Raw genomic sequence first — 16,918 nt, forward strand, 5'->3', positions numbered from 1 at the left:
TGCTGAGAGAATAGATTTTAAGTATTCTCAGCCTCCAAAATGATAAGTATGTGAGGTAATGCATATGTTAATTAGCTTTCTTTAGCCACTTCACAATGTGTACATATTTCAAAACAACATGTTGTACACTATAACATGTAAAATTTTGTCTGTTTAAAAATAAATACATTTTAAACAAATAAAAATATATTTTATAATGTTTTCTTTATAATTTTATTAAAATATTGCTACTGGTAAAAGGAAACATAATTCTGATAAACTTCATAAAATGGAAACAGAAAAAATAATTATTAGTTAATCAAACCAGAAAACATTAATCCCTGCTATGGTTTGGATATGGTTTGTCCTCACCAAAACTCATGTTGGAATTTGATCCCTGATGGGAAGGAGTTGGGAGATCTGGACCTAGTGGGACGTGTTTGGGTCATGCAGGCAGGATTCCTAATGGATGGCTTACTTCTGTTCTCACAGTAGAGTGAGTTTTTGCTCTTGAGTGAATGGATTATTTCTCACAGGAATGGATTAGTTCCCAAGAGACTGGGTTGTTATAAAGCCAGGCTACCCCTCAGATTTTCCTATTTTTGCAGGCATTTATTTCCCCTTTGACCTTCTTCACCATGATATGATGCAGTACAAAAGCCATCACCAGAAGCCAGGACTGTGATTTTGAATTTCTTAGCTTGCAGAACTGTGAACTAAATAAACCTCTTTTCTTTTATCCACTCTCAGGTATTGTGTTATAGCAACAAAAAACAGACTAAGACAAGCTCCAATTAGAAATTTATTTAGCTTAAGTTGATCAAAGATCAGAGGTATGAAATATTACAGATACATAGCCAAAGATTAGCTCTAATTGGTCAGGTATAATTGTGAATTTGTAATATTTTATAAATTCCTTCTTATTGCATATAAGTCTATGTCACCTTTCAGGAACATATTTTGTAGAGCAGGATTGGACTGCCTAGAATTGACCAAGGAGATCACAGTTGTAATAGCAAGAAAGAAGATTAGAAGATTTTGGCTATTTTTCCACTTTTCTGTAAACTTATTATTTTAAACTATTAATATATTCCATTTGGAATACACATACAATTTCTTTGTTACACTCAAGTGGAAACAAAGTGGGGTTTCTTAAGTCTCAATGAGATTATGATGATTTTTGAAATGGGAAATCGGTAGTCCTCCAAGCCTCAGCCGCTGAAGATCAGCCTTGCCAAAGCTCATGGCTAAGTGAAGACAATTTAAGAGAAGAGAATGTAGTGAAGTGACATATGTTGAAAAGAAATCACCGGCCTTCACACCTAATGCATTCCTTTACTTCTTAATGTCAAAGCAGGCATGGTTTTTCACCAACCCTACATTTGTACCAGATCTTTGAGAATCTGTCCCAGTGACATAGAACTAAGCCAGGCACATTTCACATGCAATTGGCTGGCTGTCACCCTGTGCTCCCCACAAACCCTGACAGATTGCTGATTCCTGTGCTGCCCAGGAATGCTCAATCCAGGCTTTCTTTGTCTCTCTGAAACATCTGCTTAGAAAAGAGAAAGGCGTTTTCCCCTAAACCGATGTTTTGTTTTCTCATTTTCTCTTTTGGGTCCAAGTCTTTCATATTTGCTCATCTAAACTTATTCTGACACACTTTGTGTGAATTTTTGTTTCGAACTACACATGTAAAATTCAAGCTAGTGTTCTTGGGAAAATTATCAAATAACTGCTTTTGCTGATTTTTTTTAATTGAATTAGGACATATATTACAACATCTGTTTTGTAGTTACTATAATAAATAATGTTTCACTTCTCAAGACTGAGTTACAGAAATAATTGGTTTTAACATGAGCTCATTTATTTAATATGGTCTATAAAATGTTCAAAAATTCCAAATAATATGACTGCCTAACAAAAGAACCAATCTGCTAACTGGATGAGGACTCAAGAGCTCTGTCTGAGGGCTCTACAGAAACCCATTTACAAATACTGGAGGAAGGTCTCAGCTGTCTAGTCCTGATGTTTGTTTATCCATCCAGCATAGCTTAGGGTGAAAGTCTTGTATTTGTTTCTATGGTTATAAACGGTCCCACCCTTCTGGACATTTACATTGAATCAGTCAGCCAGCCAGCCAGTTGTGCGAAAAAAGTCTGGGAGTAATTAAAATGAGAGTTATAAATTTTATTTTAATTTTTTTGCCATTGTACCATTTCTCTGTCAGAGTCTTACACAACCAAAATATCCAAGACAAGACTAATAATCTGAGAATGGTGAGAATATACTAGCAAATAAAGAACATATTAATAATTAATTCTAGCTATTAGGGCCGTATGAATCAGGTGTTCCTCCCTACCCCCCACCTGCTGTGTTTACCATAAGGACGTAAACAAGTCCATGCAGAGCTGGCCACTCTTGGGGGCAGGCCCAGCAAGGCCTGAATTGTATGAGGAGCCCTGGAGGCTCTTGGGAAAGAATTTATTGTAAGGGAAAGAAGGGTCAAGTGCACAAGTTTGTTGTACTAGCAATGTTTCAGCAATCAGAGGAGATGGGGATGAAAACAGCGTAGCATTTGCCGTTCCAATTTGTTCTCCACTGTCCTCTCTCAGAACTGGCAGTTAGGCGACTTCCAACAAAGGCAGAAGCAAGCCTCTATGACATCTTAAGAAACGAGAGACTCTTACCTGGCACACAGCTGGCTTTAAAGCTTCAGCAGAAATAGCAGCAAAGACATCATGGCCCCAGTACCCCAAAGCCTCAGGAGCCCCTTTGAGTGGAAGAAGGAGATGGAGACTTCTTATGAGGCACTAGGAGAGTAGCATAGCACCTCCATATGGCCTCACCACTGCTGTTGTGGCAGACTAATTTACCGAAGTATTAATTTCTCTTTTATGTTGGAAAGGGATGAAGGGGTGGTTGTAGTTCTGAGAATATTAGGAGTTTGAGCCCCACTAAGTCCACATAAGAAGGATGAACCTAGAACTCAGAGCTCCAAGACTTGCCTGGTGACCCCGAGGGGCCATCCTGTTTTAAGGAACGTAGGTTTGCACAAGCAGTATGCCCAAAGGCCCTTCCCAAATATTTCAGACCACACAAGACTCAAGACTTCCACAGGACTCTTGGGGTCCCCAACAATGACAGATTGCTTAACCCAGTCTGACAAGACAGGAGCTATAAACACAAATTTGATTTTGAAAAAAAATTTAATGTAACATTTCTCATGTTAGAGTATTATGGTAAGATCATATTCATATCTATCGGAGGATTTAAAAAAAAAACAAACAGAAATTCTGGGCAGGAATGGTGGCTCATGACTGTAATCCCAACACTTTGAGAGGCCGAGGTGGGAGGATCCCTTGAACCTAGGAGTTCGAGATTGCAGTGAGCTATGATGCCACTGTACTCCAGCCTGGGTGACAGAGTGAGACAGATGAAAGAAAGAGAGAAAGAGAGACAGAGAGAGAGAGAGAGAGAGGAGAAAGGGAGGAAGGAAGGAAGGAAGGAAGGAAAGAAGGAAGGAAGGAAGAGAGGGAGGGAGGGAGAGAGGGAATTCTGTCTATGACTGCTAAGGACCTTGTTTTTGTTCCAGGCTAGAGCAAAAGGAGGTACAAAACCAAATGCTAAGAAGCTGCTGCATTTACTGAGATAACCGTCTTCAGCTAATGTGAAGCACCTACAACTTACATAGAGTAAGTGGTAGAAAAATGTGTGTTGCAAGGAAAAGAAAAAAATATATGGCATTACTCTGGCCCCGATACAGACACCCATTTTTAAATAAAAATCTCTTATTTATCTGGTAAACTGTTGATGAAATGGCAACACGAGTGATAGATCTCGATTTTCTATCTCATCCATTGAGGATGTGTACTCTTTTGTTTTATTCATGCAGACAATCTGCCAGTCATCATTCACATTGCATCTGCTCTATAATATCCAATAGGCATTAAAAGGCATCCTGCACAGTGAAACCTCGAACAAAATAGTGTTACTATAACCACCATCTGGTCTGATATGAAGAGAGTGATTATTTACTTATGCCCTACCAGTCTAGAAATGCCTGGATCTGGCATGGCGGGGGAGGAATCAGTGTAATATTTTATACAGATCACACTTAGTTACCGTGAGCATGAAAACGTTTTGGTCAACAGTCTTGAAGGCCAAGACCAGCATAGTAGTGGCATAATCCATTGAGCACAAAAGGAACATATAAGAATTTATATTTGTCCTTTGTATCTTATAATCATCAATCACTTTATATGAATAGACACTGGTGCCTACATACTCTATATGTTAGATGATCATATGCCATACATGGAACATGGGGTAGCAATTTCAAAACTCAGAAAGGCTACAGGCATAACTCTTATTTGTGAGTTTGTCTTTGGTATATGAAGACATATCACTGTGCCCAGGTAGGTGAATGCGTAGATTATATTGTGTATTTCACAAAATGAACAAGAGAATTAAAAATATTCTTAAAATGAAATCTCAAATTGAAGTAGTCATGATAATACAAACATGTACAAACAGTTGGAGAACAGAAGAACTGATGCTTCCCCATTCTTCAGTTATGAGATGGAAACAAGGAAATTTTAAAAAAATTTTCTAGAAGTTGCGTAGAATTAAGGACAGTACATATTGGAAATTGCAAATTCATAGGCCCTCAAGACTGTTGACCAAAACATTGTAATGCTCATTTTAATTAGCTCATTTTAATGCTAAGTGTGATCTGTATAAAATATTACACCGATTCCTTCTCCCTCACACCAGATCCTTACATCTTTCTGGGGACAGACATTTCTAGACCGGCTTAGCACTAGTGAAGTTAAAGTTGAACTCTGTGCTAAGAATATAAAATTACACAGTCTATTAGCTAATAATGTTTGGATGCATCACCACCAGCAAGTCATTTTAAAACTGAAAAAAAAATTAGAATACTGTCAATAACCTAACTTTTAGTGAAGGAAAATATCTTTGTGCTATTAATTTTAGAAAATTATGTAAAAATATGGGCTACTTCACCTTTATCTTACTTTTTCACAGTTCCATTTTTGTGTCTGTTGTATCATGTACATGTGAGGGCGTGTGCAAAAATGTTTTACTGAGATAGGTAGATCAGTGAAGTTCAGAGACCACTAGTTTAATTCCAGATCAGGAATGTATGCAAAAATATTTCACAGAGGGCTCTATAATCATCCCCTGCAACACTATTGAACCCTTTTACCAAAACTAGGCCTCAAATATTTGATTAAAGAAAGTGTTCTGAGACTAAGAATAAAATTTTACAACCATCATTTTAGGCAGGCTTATACCTTCATTTTAAATTATCACCTTTTGGTCCAAATGCATTTAATTGTTCATTGAGGAAGGAGAAGGAGCAAGGGATAAAGGCTACTGTATCTTGATCTATCAGATTTTAAAAAATTTTTTGAACCACTCTCATATGCTAGGTCTGGATTGTCAATTATTGCTTCAGTGTTCTTTAGAGTAATAAAATATAAGCTTCCCAGAGGTGTCACTGTTCTTCTCTTTGCTGCACCCAATCTTTTCAGTACCACAAGGTAGAAGATGTCTCACAAGGATCAAACTAATAAAGTGTAAGAGGCGATTAAGAGAATACAATTTCATAAATATCTATAGGGCAAAGGGACCATGAGCCATAGGCTTTTTGAGCATATAATATGACTTTGTATCTTTCATGAGACTCTCTAAGTGCTTTATTTATTAGTCAGTATTATTATCCTTAGGTGACAGATGGAGACATTCACACCTAGAAAGATGTAATACATCCTCAAAGTCATACATTGCGTTGAGGGCGGAGCAGCAAGTGAAGGAGTTAGCGGACATCCTATAAAGCTATATTTATACCAGGGGTGCTTTGAGAAGAACTGGGCAAAGCTTGTGAATAAAAACAAGCTATTACAATCAGCCGCACTACCTATTTCTCTCTTTCCAAACAAAGGCCTGAGAGATGAGAGAGAAAAGAAAGGCAAAGCAATGTTTACAATATGCATGGGAAAAAAATGATATTTGACATTTGGTTTTAAAAACATTTTTTAGGTTATGTGAATAATTCCATGAACCAAAGTAGAAATTATGTAGTTTAACATCAGTTTACCCCACCCCCATTTCAATCTTACACAACCCCGCTGCCTCCACCAGACCTACCAGGTTTAGCACAGTGCTTTGTGTATATCCGTAGTTCACTTTCTCTTTATAGTGCCTGGCATATCATAATCACTCAAAGAACTGTTGAATGAATAAATGTAGATAGATATTAATATTAATATCTCCATCTTAGTGACACCAGCTCAGAACAATCAGCTTGGACAGTCATGCCATTCATTCATAGCAGAGCTGGGATTTTTAACTCTTTCTCCACCCTCTTGCTTTGCCTACCACTAAGAAGCTTATCAAGGAATCTCAACCCATGCAGTACTCTTTTAGAAGAGATCTAGAAAATAGAATGTTCTCTATTTTGTACATTTCCAGCAATGTTCAAGTATCTCATGATTTTTCTGCTATTCCATTTAACTCCACCTTAAATCCTACAGCTCATAAAACATGGCTTATGTCACTAGTTTAGCAATAAAACACCTTTACTATGACATCTCTAGTGCTATTATTTTATTTTACATATTTTGTAACCTCAACTCAAGTTTACATTCTTTGAAGGCAGAAGCCCTGTGTTACTTACATTTTTTAAATTACTTTCAGCATCTTGTGCTGTGTTGTTGACATAGTGGTAGATACTTAGCATTTGTAGTAAACTGATCATAATCAAAGAACAACATTACTACTGTTATTCTGTGATTGGACATCAAGAGAAAGCTTCCTTAACCCTCACACCCAGCATCTTATCACTATAAAGACCACTGAAACAATAGTTGATGGTCCAGGCCCAGCCATGAGATTGGTACACGTTTTTTTTAATCTGATGTATCAAAATACAATAACCTCTATCCCTTGCTCCTTCTTCTTCTTCAATAAGCAATTACACACATTTTAGGGAAAAGAAGATAATTCAAAAATTCAATACTTTTTGGTCCAGCTAACAGTGAGAAATGTTAAGGCCTTAGGGCCACGTTATACTGAATGGATATTTTTTTTTATAGCTCACATACCTTTTTATTTTTATATATAACCAAAGATAATGCATGTGACGGTTTTCCATATCTATGGTATGACTGGCAGTTTCCACTCTCCTCAAAGTGAAAGGAAAACACTGGTTATACCAAGGGTAGGTCATATAGCCAATGGGTTCCAATGGCCCAAGTACAAAATATAATGTACAAAAGTGTCCAGTGACTGCACTAATCTAATGAGGCTGGTGTGCCATGTTTGTCAAGTGTGGAGCTCTCTTGCACAGGTACTGACAGCTGGTAATGAGATACAGAAACTTTTTCCACATCAGTAGCCCAATCCCTCCTGGCTTGGAGCTGTCCCAAGATCTGTGCCCTCTGCTACCGTGTTTATGACACACAGCACAGCATGGGCTGCTGAACGTGCCCATTTTTCAGTTCAAGGGGTGCTCAACCATTTCTTCCACATCTTTACTCATGAGAAGTGATTTTCCAAATTCTTGGATCCTGGAAATGACCCAAACATAGCTCACTAAACTAATTTCTCTCAGAGTTTTTAAACGCATGTGCATTTGAGCATAAACACTATCCATATGTTTCTGATTCATTTACACTGAACTCATCAAAGGACTGTGTTGTAAGAGTTGTTTGATGTCCAAGAATACTTGAGGGGTTTTTTTAAGATGGAATTTTATACTTTCTTTCACCATTTTCCTTAGGAAGCCGAATGTTGTTGAGAGTAAACAAACATGGACCCCCAAGGATCTGGGGTTTATTCTTATATTCAAAATTCAGAAGGAGGTAACTCGGCAGGAAAGGCATCCCTGGCCTCTGGTGTAACCTGGCACTATTCCCCAAAGTGTAGGAAGTGCTTAGGGTGAACAGGGATACTCCTTTCAGGAGACCTTCTTTTACTTGGAGATTTATTCATTGGATCCCAAAAGGCCATTACAAAACCTAAAACAAATACAACTCTTGGAAGCTAGCTGGGGTCTCTTGCTTCCCAGTTTGAGGAGAAAGCTTTAAAATGTTTCTACTGCAATTGTTCTTCATTATTGGAAGAGAACCAGAGAAGGCTTTTTAGGAAACCCAGTATTTATTCACCTGAAAGCATCCGTGTCCTACATTTATATGCTAAAGAGACAAGACAAGCATCTGTGGCTACAGCTGAGAACTAATTAAGGTTGCTCTTTAACAAACATTATGTGGTTCATTCCATTCTTCCTTGATTAAGAACAAAAGAGAAGGAGAGTCATTTATTGTCATGAGTCACTTGAGGTACAATGGAAGGAATTCCAAAACGCTGCTGAGACAAAACAAAACTGACATTATGAAAGCCATGTCTAAACACTAATTTAAACTGTCAACTCACTACCAAGGAAGACTCTTGACAGACAGAGAATTAAAGCTTTAAAGACCTCATAAATCACTGAGGAGATTAGCACCAGCGTGAATGAGTTAAAATACACTTCTGCCTTCAGAGCGTTACAGGGGTTCAAAGCAGTCCTATAGGATTTGATGGGAAAATTAGTTGTAATAACTAGGAAGAGAAAAATTCCCAAATATAGCTTCTTGGGGATTTCACAGTGCAGGCTTCACCCACCACAGTTATTTCAGGTACCTGACTTAGTGAAATATAATATAGATGCTTTTGGGATCCAACATATAGCACAATAAAAATGACTTTTGAGAAATGTTGGAATCCAAAAACATTATTTACAAATACCAAACATTTTTCAAACCCCAAACCACTAAAAATAACTGAAATTTAACCTAAATGTATGACTCAGCAGTGGATTTAACACCATTTTGTCCTTGTTTCCCATTTATGCCTCTCTCCAAAAATCCTGTGGCATATATATGATTTTGGGGCAAGATTCATCATTTCTCCCACTGGATGGAGTTTCCAAGCTCTGTCGCCAGCACCAAGAAGTCTTCAGAGCAAACTTTGTTGGCATTTCCATCGATTTTAATATTTAAATATTACCCTCTTTAGGGTCTCTGAGTTAAAAAGAACCACTTACTCCAGTGAGAGAATCCTCGATCTTACCTAGTGCTGAAAAGAAAAGGCACAAGGAGATTCTGCTCCTAAGTGGTCTGCACCCAGAGAGGCTGAGATAGATGCCTCTGAGAGAGAGATCATTAACAGCTGGACAACCCTTTAGAAAATGAAGGAGCCAAAAATGTAACTCTACAGAGTTAAATCATACTCTGGTAACTCTTCCCCCCACTCCCGAGGTCTGACTAATCATTTCTTTACAGGTTCTTTCTCGAAGACTCCACAAAATAAATTTTTTTCCCCTAAGTCCTTGGTGCACTCTAGATGATCTCTTTGACTTGGATCTTATCACATCTGTGCCTGTCCAGAAATGATTTTCTGAAGCATATGTTCATGTGGTCTCTTCCTTCCCCAAATTGGAAAGTTTTGCATGCAGTAATTTTATTCCATTCTTTGATTTTTTTTTTCCTTTTGGCTTAAGTCAAAGTGATACAGAAATCCACATGGAGAAGAGTGGAATATAATTGCTACAGCCTTCAGACTGAATCCTCTCTTAGCCAGGATACGGCGGCTGTGTCCTCTTTTCCTCTCCGGCTCTTCTCTTCTCTCCCTATGCTCCCCCTATTAGTGACAGTTGTCAGAAACAGTCAGAAATAGGTTTAAGTGGCTAAGAGAGAGCACCAAGAGAACATTTAAGGAAGTATCTTGAGGTGAACCAGTTGATTCAACCATATATATCCAGCTGTAGGACACTCAGTCCCAAGTTCCAAGACATAAAACTTAGACCCATCTTGGACACAGGTCTCAGGACTCCTTTAAGGATGTGAATTGCTCCAGAAGCTTTTTGTCTAGGGTCATATCTCTGTCAGTCTTCTGCCCAATGGGAATCTTAGTTTAACGTTTTAGTGGTGCTACAGAGGTTGAGTTACAGTCACGTGACTCTAAATTCAGTTCTGTAATGCCAAAACTATCGCACTTTATTCTTTTTTGGAAGAGAGGCAGGAAGTGTGCAATGTAATCGTGATCCCTCCTCGGGCTCCCCTTCCATGATCCCAAATAGAACTCAGGTTGGAAACTGCAAAAGTGGTCTCAAGAAAACTGTTGTAAAGGGCATCCTGGTTCTTTGAATGTAAACTTGATCACATGCCCATAAATTTCTACAGAGTCCCAGATTCATCCCCAAGCTACTCTGGTGGATTATAAGATGAAAAGAGAGACACTCAACTCCATCCCTCACCAGGAAGAAGACTACCACTCTTTCTCATGCCTTCTGAACCTACTCTGATCAGCAAGAGATGATTGCCCCAAAACTCCCACATGAGAATCATGAGAGGGGCCTTGTCTGAAAAGTGGAAGAAAAACTCAATAATGAACTTTACCTGAGCATGGTACCGTCAGAAAGGAAACCAAATTATTAAGCTCTGCCTCTGGATACTATACCATTGTCTGCTTTTCACTGACCACTGGCTCTTGAGACTGAAGCTGCATGAAAACTCCACTAGTCCAATTCAAATAACTTGTCATTATTTCCAGGTTCTTAATTCATCATAAACCCATAGATCTTTTCAAGCTCTTATGGTTCCTTTTAAACTTTAGTTTATAGAAGAGTATACCAGGTATTAGGCAGAAACTCTGGCATCAGAAAAGGGCTGGCTTGCCAGCACTTGAAGTGCAGATGAGTGATTTGATTTGGTTACACTATTTAAAGTTCTGAGTGCAGGGAACACCTTGCATAGCCAGAAACCATGTTTTCTGTTTATAGGTCAAATGACTAGCCTTGTAGAGAATCATAAAGATCATATTTGGATTTGGCCATCTCTTGCTAACATTCCTCCTGTGTTTGTAAACACTGCTGACTTTGACCCCAGTCTCTCACAAATCCATGACTGACACCAAACAGCCACAGAGGAGCTGCAGAACATAATGTGATTCTGTAATGCAAAACAGGATGACTTGCTAAGTGTGCAGATCTGGAGAGAATTCCTGACATAATCCTTCTTACGTCTTTCATGATAATTATTTCCATCTTCAGAATACATGGAAACAGTGGTCCCTTGGACATTGTTTCTAGAGGCTGGACTGAAATCCCTTCTGCTGGGCTAACTGTATGTGATAAGGCACTGGGGCCATGAGTATGCCAGCAGAATGCACTAGGACCTGCAAAGGTGAGAATGAGCTAAGAAAACCTAGCGACTAGCTGTGGAGATGCTGCAGCAGAAGGAAATGTATAAAATAGCAACTACTCTTCCAAATACTGGAAATCAGCTCTAGTCATAGCTTACTCATCCACGTACACATTTAAAACACTGATTGAGAGCCTACTATGTGCCATAAGCATTTACGAGGGACTATGATTTGAAATGCATTAGTAATCTCACATTTTTAATAGTCATGCTAAAACAAATTCAGCTCACCTCTCAGAGCATAGACATAGAGTCTTCATAGTGGACTGGAAGTGTTTATTTAAAACATAGTTACTATTTTTAAACAGGTAAAAACATAGAACATTGGGAAAGGCTGAAAATGGGAGGGGCCTAACCCAATTAGTAAACAAAGGAAAAAGAATTGAATCCTGGTTCCTACCTAATCAGCGCTTCGTAGAAATGCAGTCTAGAACCAGCTCTCCCTAATTTCAGTTGTCAGGGCAGCCTTCACATAACGCTTCTTCCTAGGGAGTCAGCTCTGTAAAGCAGATGTGTAAAGATCCTTGTTTCTTTTAATTAAAAACCCCAGCCTACTGAAGTTTTGGGGAAACCAAGAAAGTGGGCATAAGGCTAAGGTCCTAAGTTATATTCCTTGCGTTCCATATCTAATGGACTTCCAGGAGAATGTCACCATGGTCATTTATACAGTCCTGCAGAATACCATGAGAAAGCAAAAGAGCATGATCGGATCCGGGGCAAGGATGGAATCATGGACACATTTTACTCATATCATTGTCACCATTTGTACCTCAGAGATGAGAATTTCATATCTCAAAGACCTTATAATCAGTCCAATAAATAACTATTTCTTGACTTTGTTGCTGAGTCATATAATATAATCCAAAACAATAGAGAGGAGTAAAAAGTGGAGGCTTGAACCCAGGGAAGAATAAAATAATAGCATGACAATAAACACCCATATCTGTAGAACACTACTGTGTGCCGTTTTTTAAAATTAAACATCATTTCATTTTTTTTCTTACAACAATCCTATGAGCTAGACATTATTAATCCTTCTGGCATCTAGGACAAAGGAGTGATGGAGAACAAGATTTGCCTAAAATTCCACTGATCCCACACTTCTAAGACCGGTACTCCTTCCCTCACAAGGCACTGTTGAAGTTGTGTTTGGAGACTTTGCACAGTAAAATACATATACAGTTCAGGGAAATATGCAATGTGGAAATGATATTTTTACCTTTGCATAGCCATAATAGTACCAAATCCTCATTTATACAGGGATCTTATAACATGCAATGCAACATCTGAAAACTAATATTTTGCCACTTCCCTGTGAGATATTTTCTCAATGAGGGAACTTTGGATACATAAATCTTTTTTTTTTTTTTTTTGACGGAATCTTGCTCTGTCACCAGGCTGGAGTGCAGTGGCGCAATCTCAGCTCACTGCAACCTTCACCTCCCGGGTTCAATCAACTCCCCTGCCTCAGCCTCCCGAGTAGCTGGGACTACAGGCACATGCCACCACGCCCAGCTAATTTTTTGTATTTTAGTAGAGATGGGGTTTCACTATGTTGGCCAGGATGGTCTCAATCTCCTGACCTCATGATCTGCCTGCCTCGGCCTCCCAATTTGCTGGGATACAAGGTGTGAGCCACCGCACCTGGCCAATACATAAATTTTAATAACTGTGTAGTCTGTACCAGATACAGAGAAAAACTTACTCTCCAACAGTCCAGGAAACCTAATCTAATCCAAGACTTAAGACTACAGCTGCTTTGCTCAAATTTCTTATCTTTATCTTTTCTTCTCTCTTAGGAAATGTTAAATATGACCTTAGAAACTCCATACACTTTCTTTTTACATGGCAACTACTCTGCCCCATATGCTAGAAAGAACAAAATTGATGTTGCTGTTATCTTTGCATGGAAATGCAATTCTAAGTCCTTCACAATATGGAATGCACTGAACAATGGATTATCAGGCTTTGCAGATGATATTTTACCAGTCCTTCAATGGTAATTTACTAAGCCCACTTCACATAGAGAGAAAACAAAGGTCCACCCAGAAATAGTTTAAGGTGAGAAATTTGTGGTAGAAGTGTTGGCCGAACAAAATCTTTCAGGTAATATTTTATTACCAACATATCTTTATATCTTTTCAGAAAGCCAGATCTAGATAACATATAGTACAGCTAAAAAATCCAGATACTACATATTATCTAGCTAAAAAGAAAGACATACAACTGAGAGAGACAAGGTAATTTGATTTTTTAATTTTTAATTAAAGGACATCCTAAAATTAAATATGATAATTTTTTAAAAAAGAAAAAGCTAAGCATGAGCTGAACCTGAAATCAGAAAGCTCTTTAGATGAGAAGCTTCTTCAGAGTTCTTATGAACAGTACGTTTCAAGTCTGCTAAAAAGAATAATTAAAATTCAGGCTGGGTGCAGTGGCTCACGGCTGTAAGCCCAGCACTTTGGGAGGCCGAGGTGGGCAGATCACCTGAGGTCAGGAGTTTGAAACCAGCCTGGCCAACATGGCGAAATCCCGTCTCTACTAAAAATAAAAAAAAATTTAGCTGGACGTGGTGGGGGGTGCCTGTAATCCCAGCCATTCGGGAGGCTGAGGCAGGAGAATTGCATGAACCCTGGAGGCAGAGGTTGCAGTGAGCCAAGATCGTGCCACTGCACTCCAGCCTGGGTGACAGAGCAAGGCTCTGTCTCAAAAAAAAAAAAGAATAATTAAAATTCAGTTCAAGTTAACAAATTCATAGTAAGCATGGACCATTACGCAGGAATCATGCTAGGTACTAAGTAAGTGGTTAAAAGGATACCAAGAAATTTAAGAGTTATGTATTGCCACTGAGGAATTTATAATCTCTAAGAACAGTGACTATCTTCTTTTTGCTATTTTCCTCTTTTCTAGTAAAGAAATGTAATAACACAAAATTAGACCAGTTTTGGTTATCTTATCTAGCACAGAATGGAGGTGTAACTTAATCATTTAAGTCTGAAAAAATGGTATGCTGAACTAGGTATCTTAGATTTTTCTATAGGTTCTTGGTTAAAAATATACATATAATGTATGTGTGTATATATACTTTATACATATGTGTGTATATATATAATGTATGTGTGTATATATATATTTTATACATATGTGTATATATATAATGTGTGTGTATATATTTTATACATATGTGTATATGTATACACATATCATATATTTTTTACCTAGATATACACATATATATATATATATTAGAAAGGTCAAGGCTTATATTTAACTAGGATAAGTCTTTTAAAATTCTACTTCCCACTTTCCATTTTAAGTTTAGGAAAATAATATATGCCACATCTTTCCTCACCTAAGGAAATAGCTAAATATTTAAACTTTCTTTTGAGGCAGAAACCTTAAAAATATAATGTACTTTAATTATCATCACATAGTAATTGTACAGTTAAAAATAGAAGGAAAGGAAGGGAGAGCTTAGTATTCAACAAGTTACTATAATGCTAAGGGTTAATACATTGCTGGGTTAATACATTGCTAAGTTAATATATTGCTAAGTCATTCATTAATGACTGAATGGCTCCTCTCAGCTTACAGTTCAGCAATTCACAATTGATTTCTATTTTTATAAAATTATGTCATCATAAATATTCTATTTAGATTTAGAGTTTGTCTTAAAACACTTTGAACTTCACTCCAGTTAACGAAGGGAAAAATATACAAAGAAAGCCAATTGTTTAATATACTTCTTGAGATAAAATATGAAATTAAAATTTGAATACAGTCCAACTATTACAGCAATATTGGATCAGAAGCTAAACTTTAATGACAACCGAGATGAAGAAGGTAGGTTCAAAATGTTTGTTCTAAGAAAACCTACCCACTTACAGAATTAGACACCATTCCAGGAAAACTTAGCATGGGGCAGGAAGTACTGGGGAGGGGTGGGTAGTACAAATTAGAAGCTATGAGGAATACCAAAGAGTTAAGAGACAAGATTTTTCCTTTTGGAGTTTACTACCTTTTTAAGAACAAAAGAAACATGTGAAGTGACCAAAGAACATCTTCACAGAGTAGAAGCGAGATGGGAGGGAGGACAAAATTCAGGGAAGAGGCAATCAGTGACACCTGTCTTCACTGTCTTTCAATAATGTCAATAAATCTCAAATACTGGGGATGAGTGGTAAAAGATTCTTGGGAGATTAAGAAGAATAGAGTTAAAAATCTATATGCAGATATGAATTTTCCTTCCGTAACCCTGGAATAGATTATCATAATGGTAATTTTTCAATACATGGTTATCTGTTAGTGCCACTATTATTATTTTTATAAAAATTATAATCAGATTGTATATTAACGATAAAGAGTAACTTCACACAGCCCTACTAATCTTCCCTAATTTGAAGGGGTCATTGCTTAAATAATGGTAGGTCATAGGTAGGGTGACCACATGATCTGGTTGACTAAGACAGTCTTAGTTTGCACCAATTGTCAATAATTGAGCACTCTTCTGTTCTCATAATTATCCTGATTTGGATGATGAGTACTATGGTGATCTAGTCATAGGACAGATTAAGAAATTTCTAACTGGAATCTCCTTTATCCCCACCAATTAGTAGCCTTTCAAAAGCAGCACAGTGGGCAAGGACAGGAGTGGACTTACCAGAACACAAACTTAGAGGCAATGTTTCCTCCAGGGCTCAACTTCTCCCTGATGCTAGAAGCATTGGTATCCAGCAGGTAAACACATCTCCACCTGTAACTGAAGTGGAGGACAGGTAAATGTAGATATCAAGAGTTGGCCCCACCATAGAAGATGTCACCAAAGATGGAGAAGAAAGCACAGATCCTGGTCAATCCATGATTCTTTCACTTCCTTAAAGGTGCTGAATCACTGAACTGATGATATAAACTTAAATCAATCAGAACCTCACCTTAAGAGATGAGAGAAGAATTCAAACACAACCCAGAAAATGGCAAGGGAATCCAAGGAAACCTCACTAATACTCTTTTGGGGGCAAATCCAAACTTCAGATAGCTTCTTATCCTATAATTATTAACCTTAAAATAATAACAATAATATAAAATAAGACATGGTAGAGAGCTATGTTTTAGAAATAATTAATTATAAGTAACTCAGGTCAAGTTTAAATAACCTCTGCTTAATATACTCAAGGAAATTCAGGAATACAAGAAATCTGTGAAACAAGAGATAAAGTGAGAAGAAAACCAACTGAAATGAAAATGAAGGGGGCTAAGAGGCACAAAAATGTTTCTAAAACTACAGAAAAATAGAACACTTTGAATAAACATAAGTAAATTTAGTATTAGCTTTGAAATTAACATATAAATAGTAAAAATTAGAATTAACCTAGTAAAAGCAAAATCAATGATATAGAAGGCAGAACTAAGAAGCATTCTGTGAATGGTAAAAAAGGCAAGGAAATTAAATCAACAAGAGTGAAGATTACAGACGAGAAAATTGACAAAGGAAAACTAATCAGTACATATAAAGACAAATGGAACAGATTGAACAAAGATAAAAAAGAAGAAAATTTTCTTAATATGAGAAAGCTATCATTATATAGATTAAAATACCATACCATTAATCAGATAAATTTAATAAAAAGAAAATAAACCCAGACTTTAATGAAAATTAAGTTTTAAGTAAA

General features: G+C 37.4%; 1 long non-coding RNA gene across 10 annotated transcripts in view; it reads right to left on the bottom strand.

Moving 5' to 3' along the window:
* Window positions 1–16,918, bottom strand: part of LINC02331 (long intergenic non-protein coding RNA 2331) — a 165,830-nt gene that overhangs the window by 49,096 nt on the left and 99,816 nt on the right. For 9 of the 10 annotated variants that reach the window (NR_184221.1, NR_184218.1, NR_184212.1 and 6 more), the window contains one exon: window positions 15,910–16,008. This is a non-coding gene — a long non-coding RNA (long intergenic non-protein coding RNA 2331). The remainder of the gene's footprint in view (window positions 1–15,909; window positions 16,009–16,918) is intronic. The other variant, NR_184220.1, reaches the window with a different exon arrangement.

Source organism: Homo sapiens, chromosome 14 (genome assembly GCF_000001405.40).
Source record: "Homo sapiens chromosome 14, GRCh38.p14 Primary Assembly".
NCBI classification, from domain to species: Eukaryota; Metazoa; Chordata; class Mammalia; order Primates; family Hominidae; genus Homo; species Homo sapiens.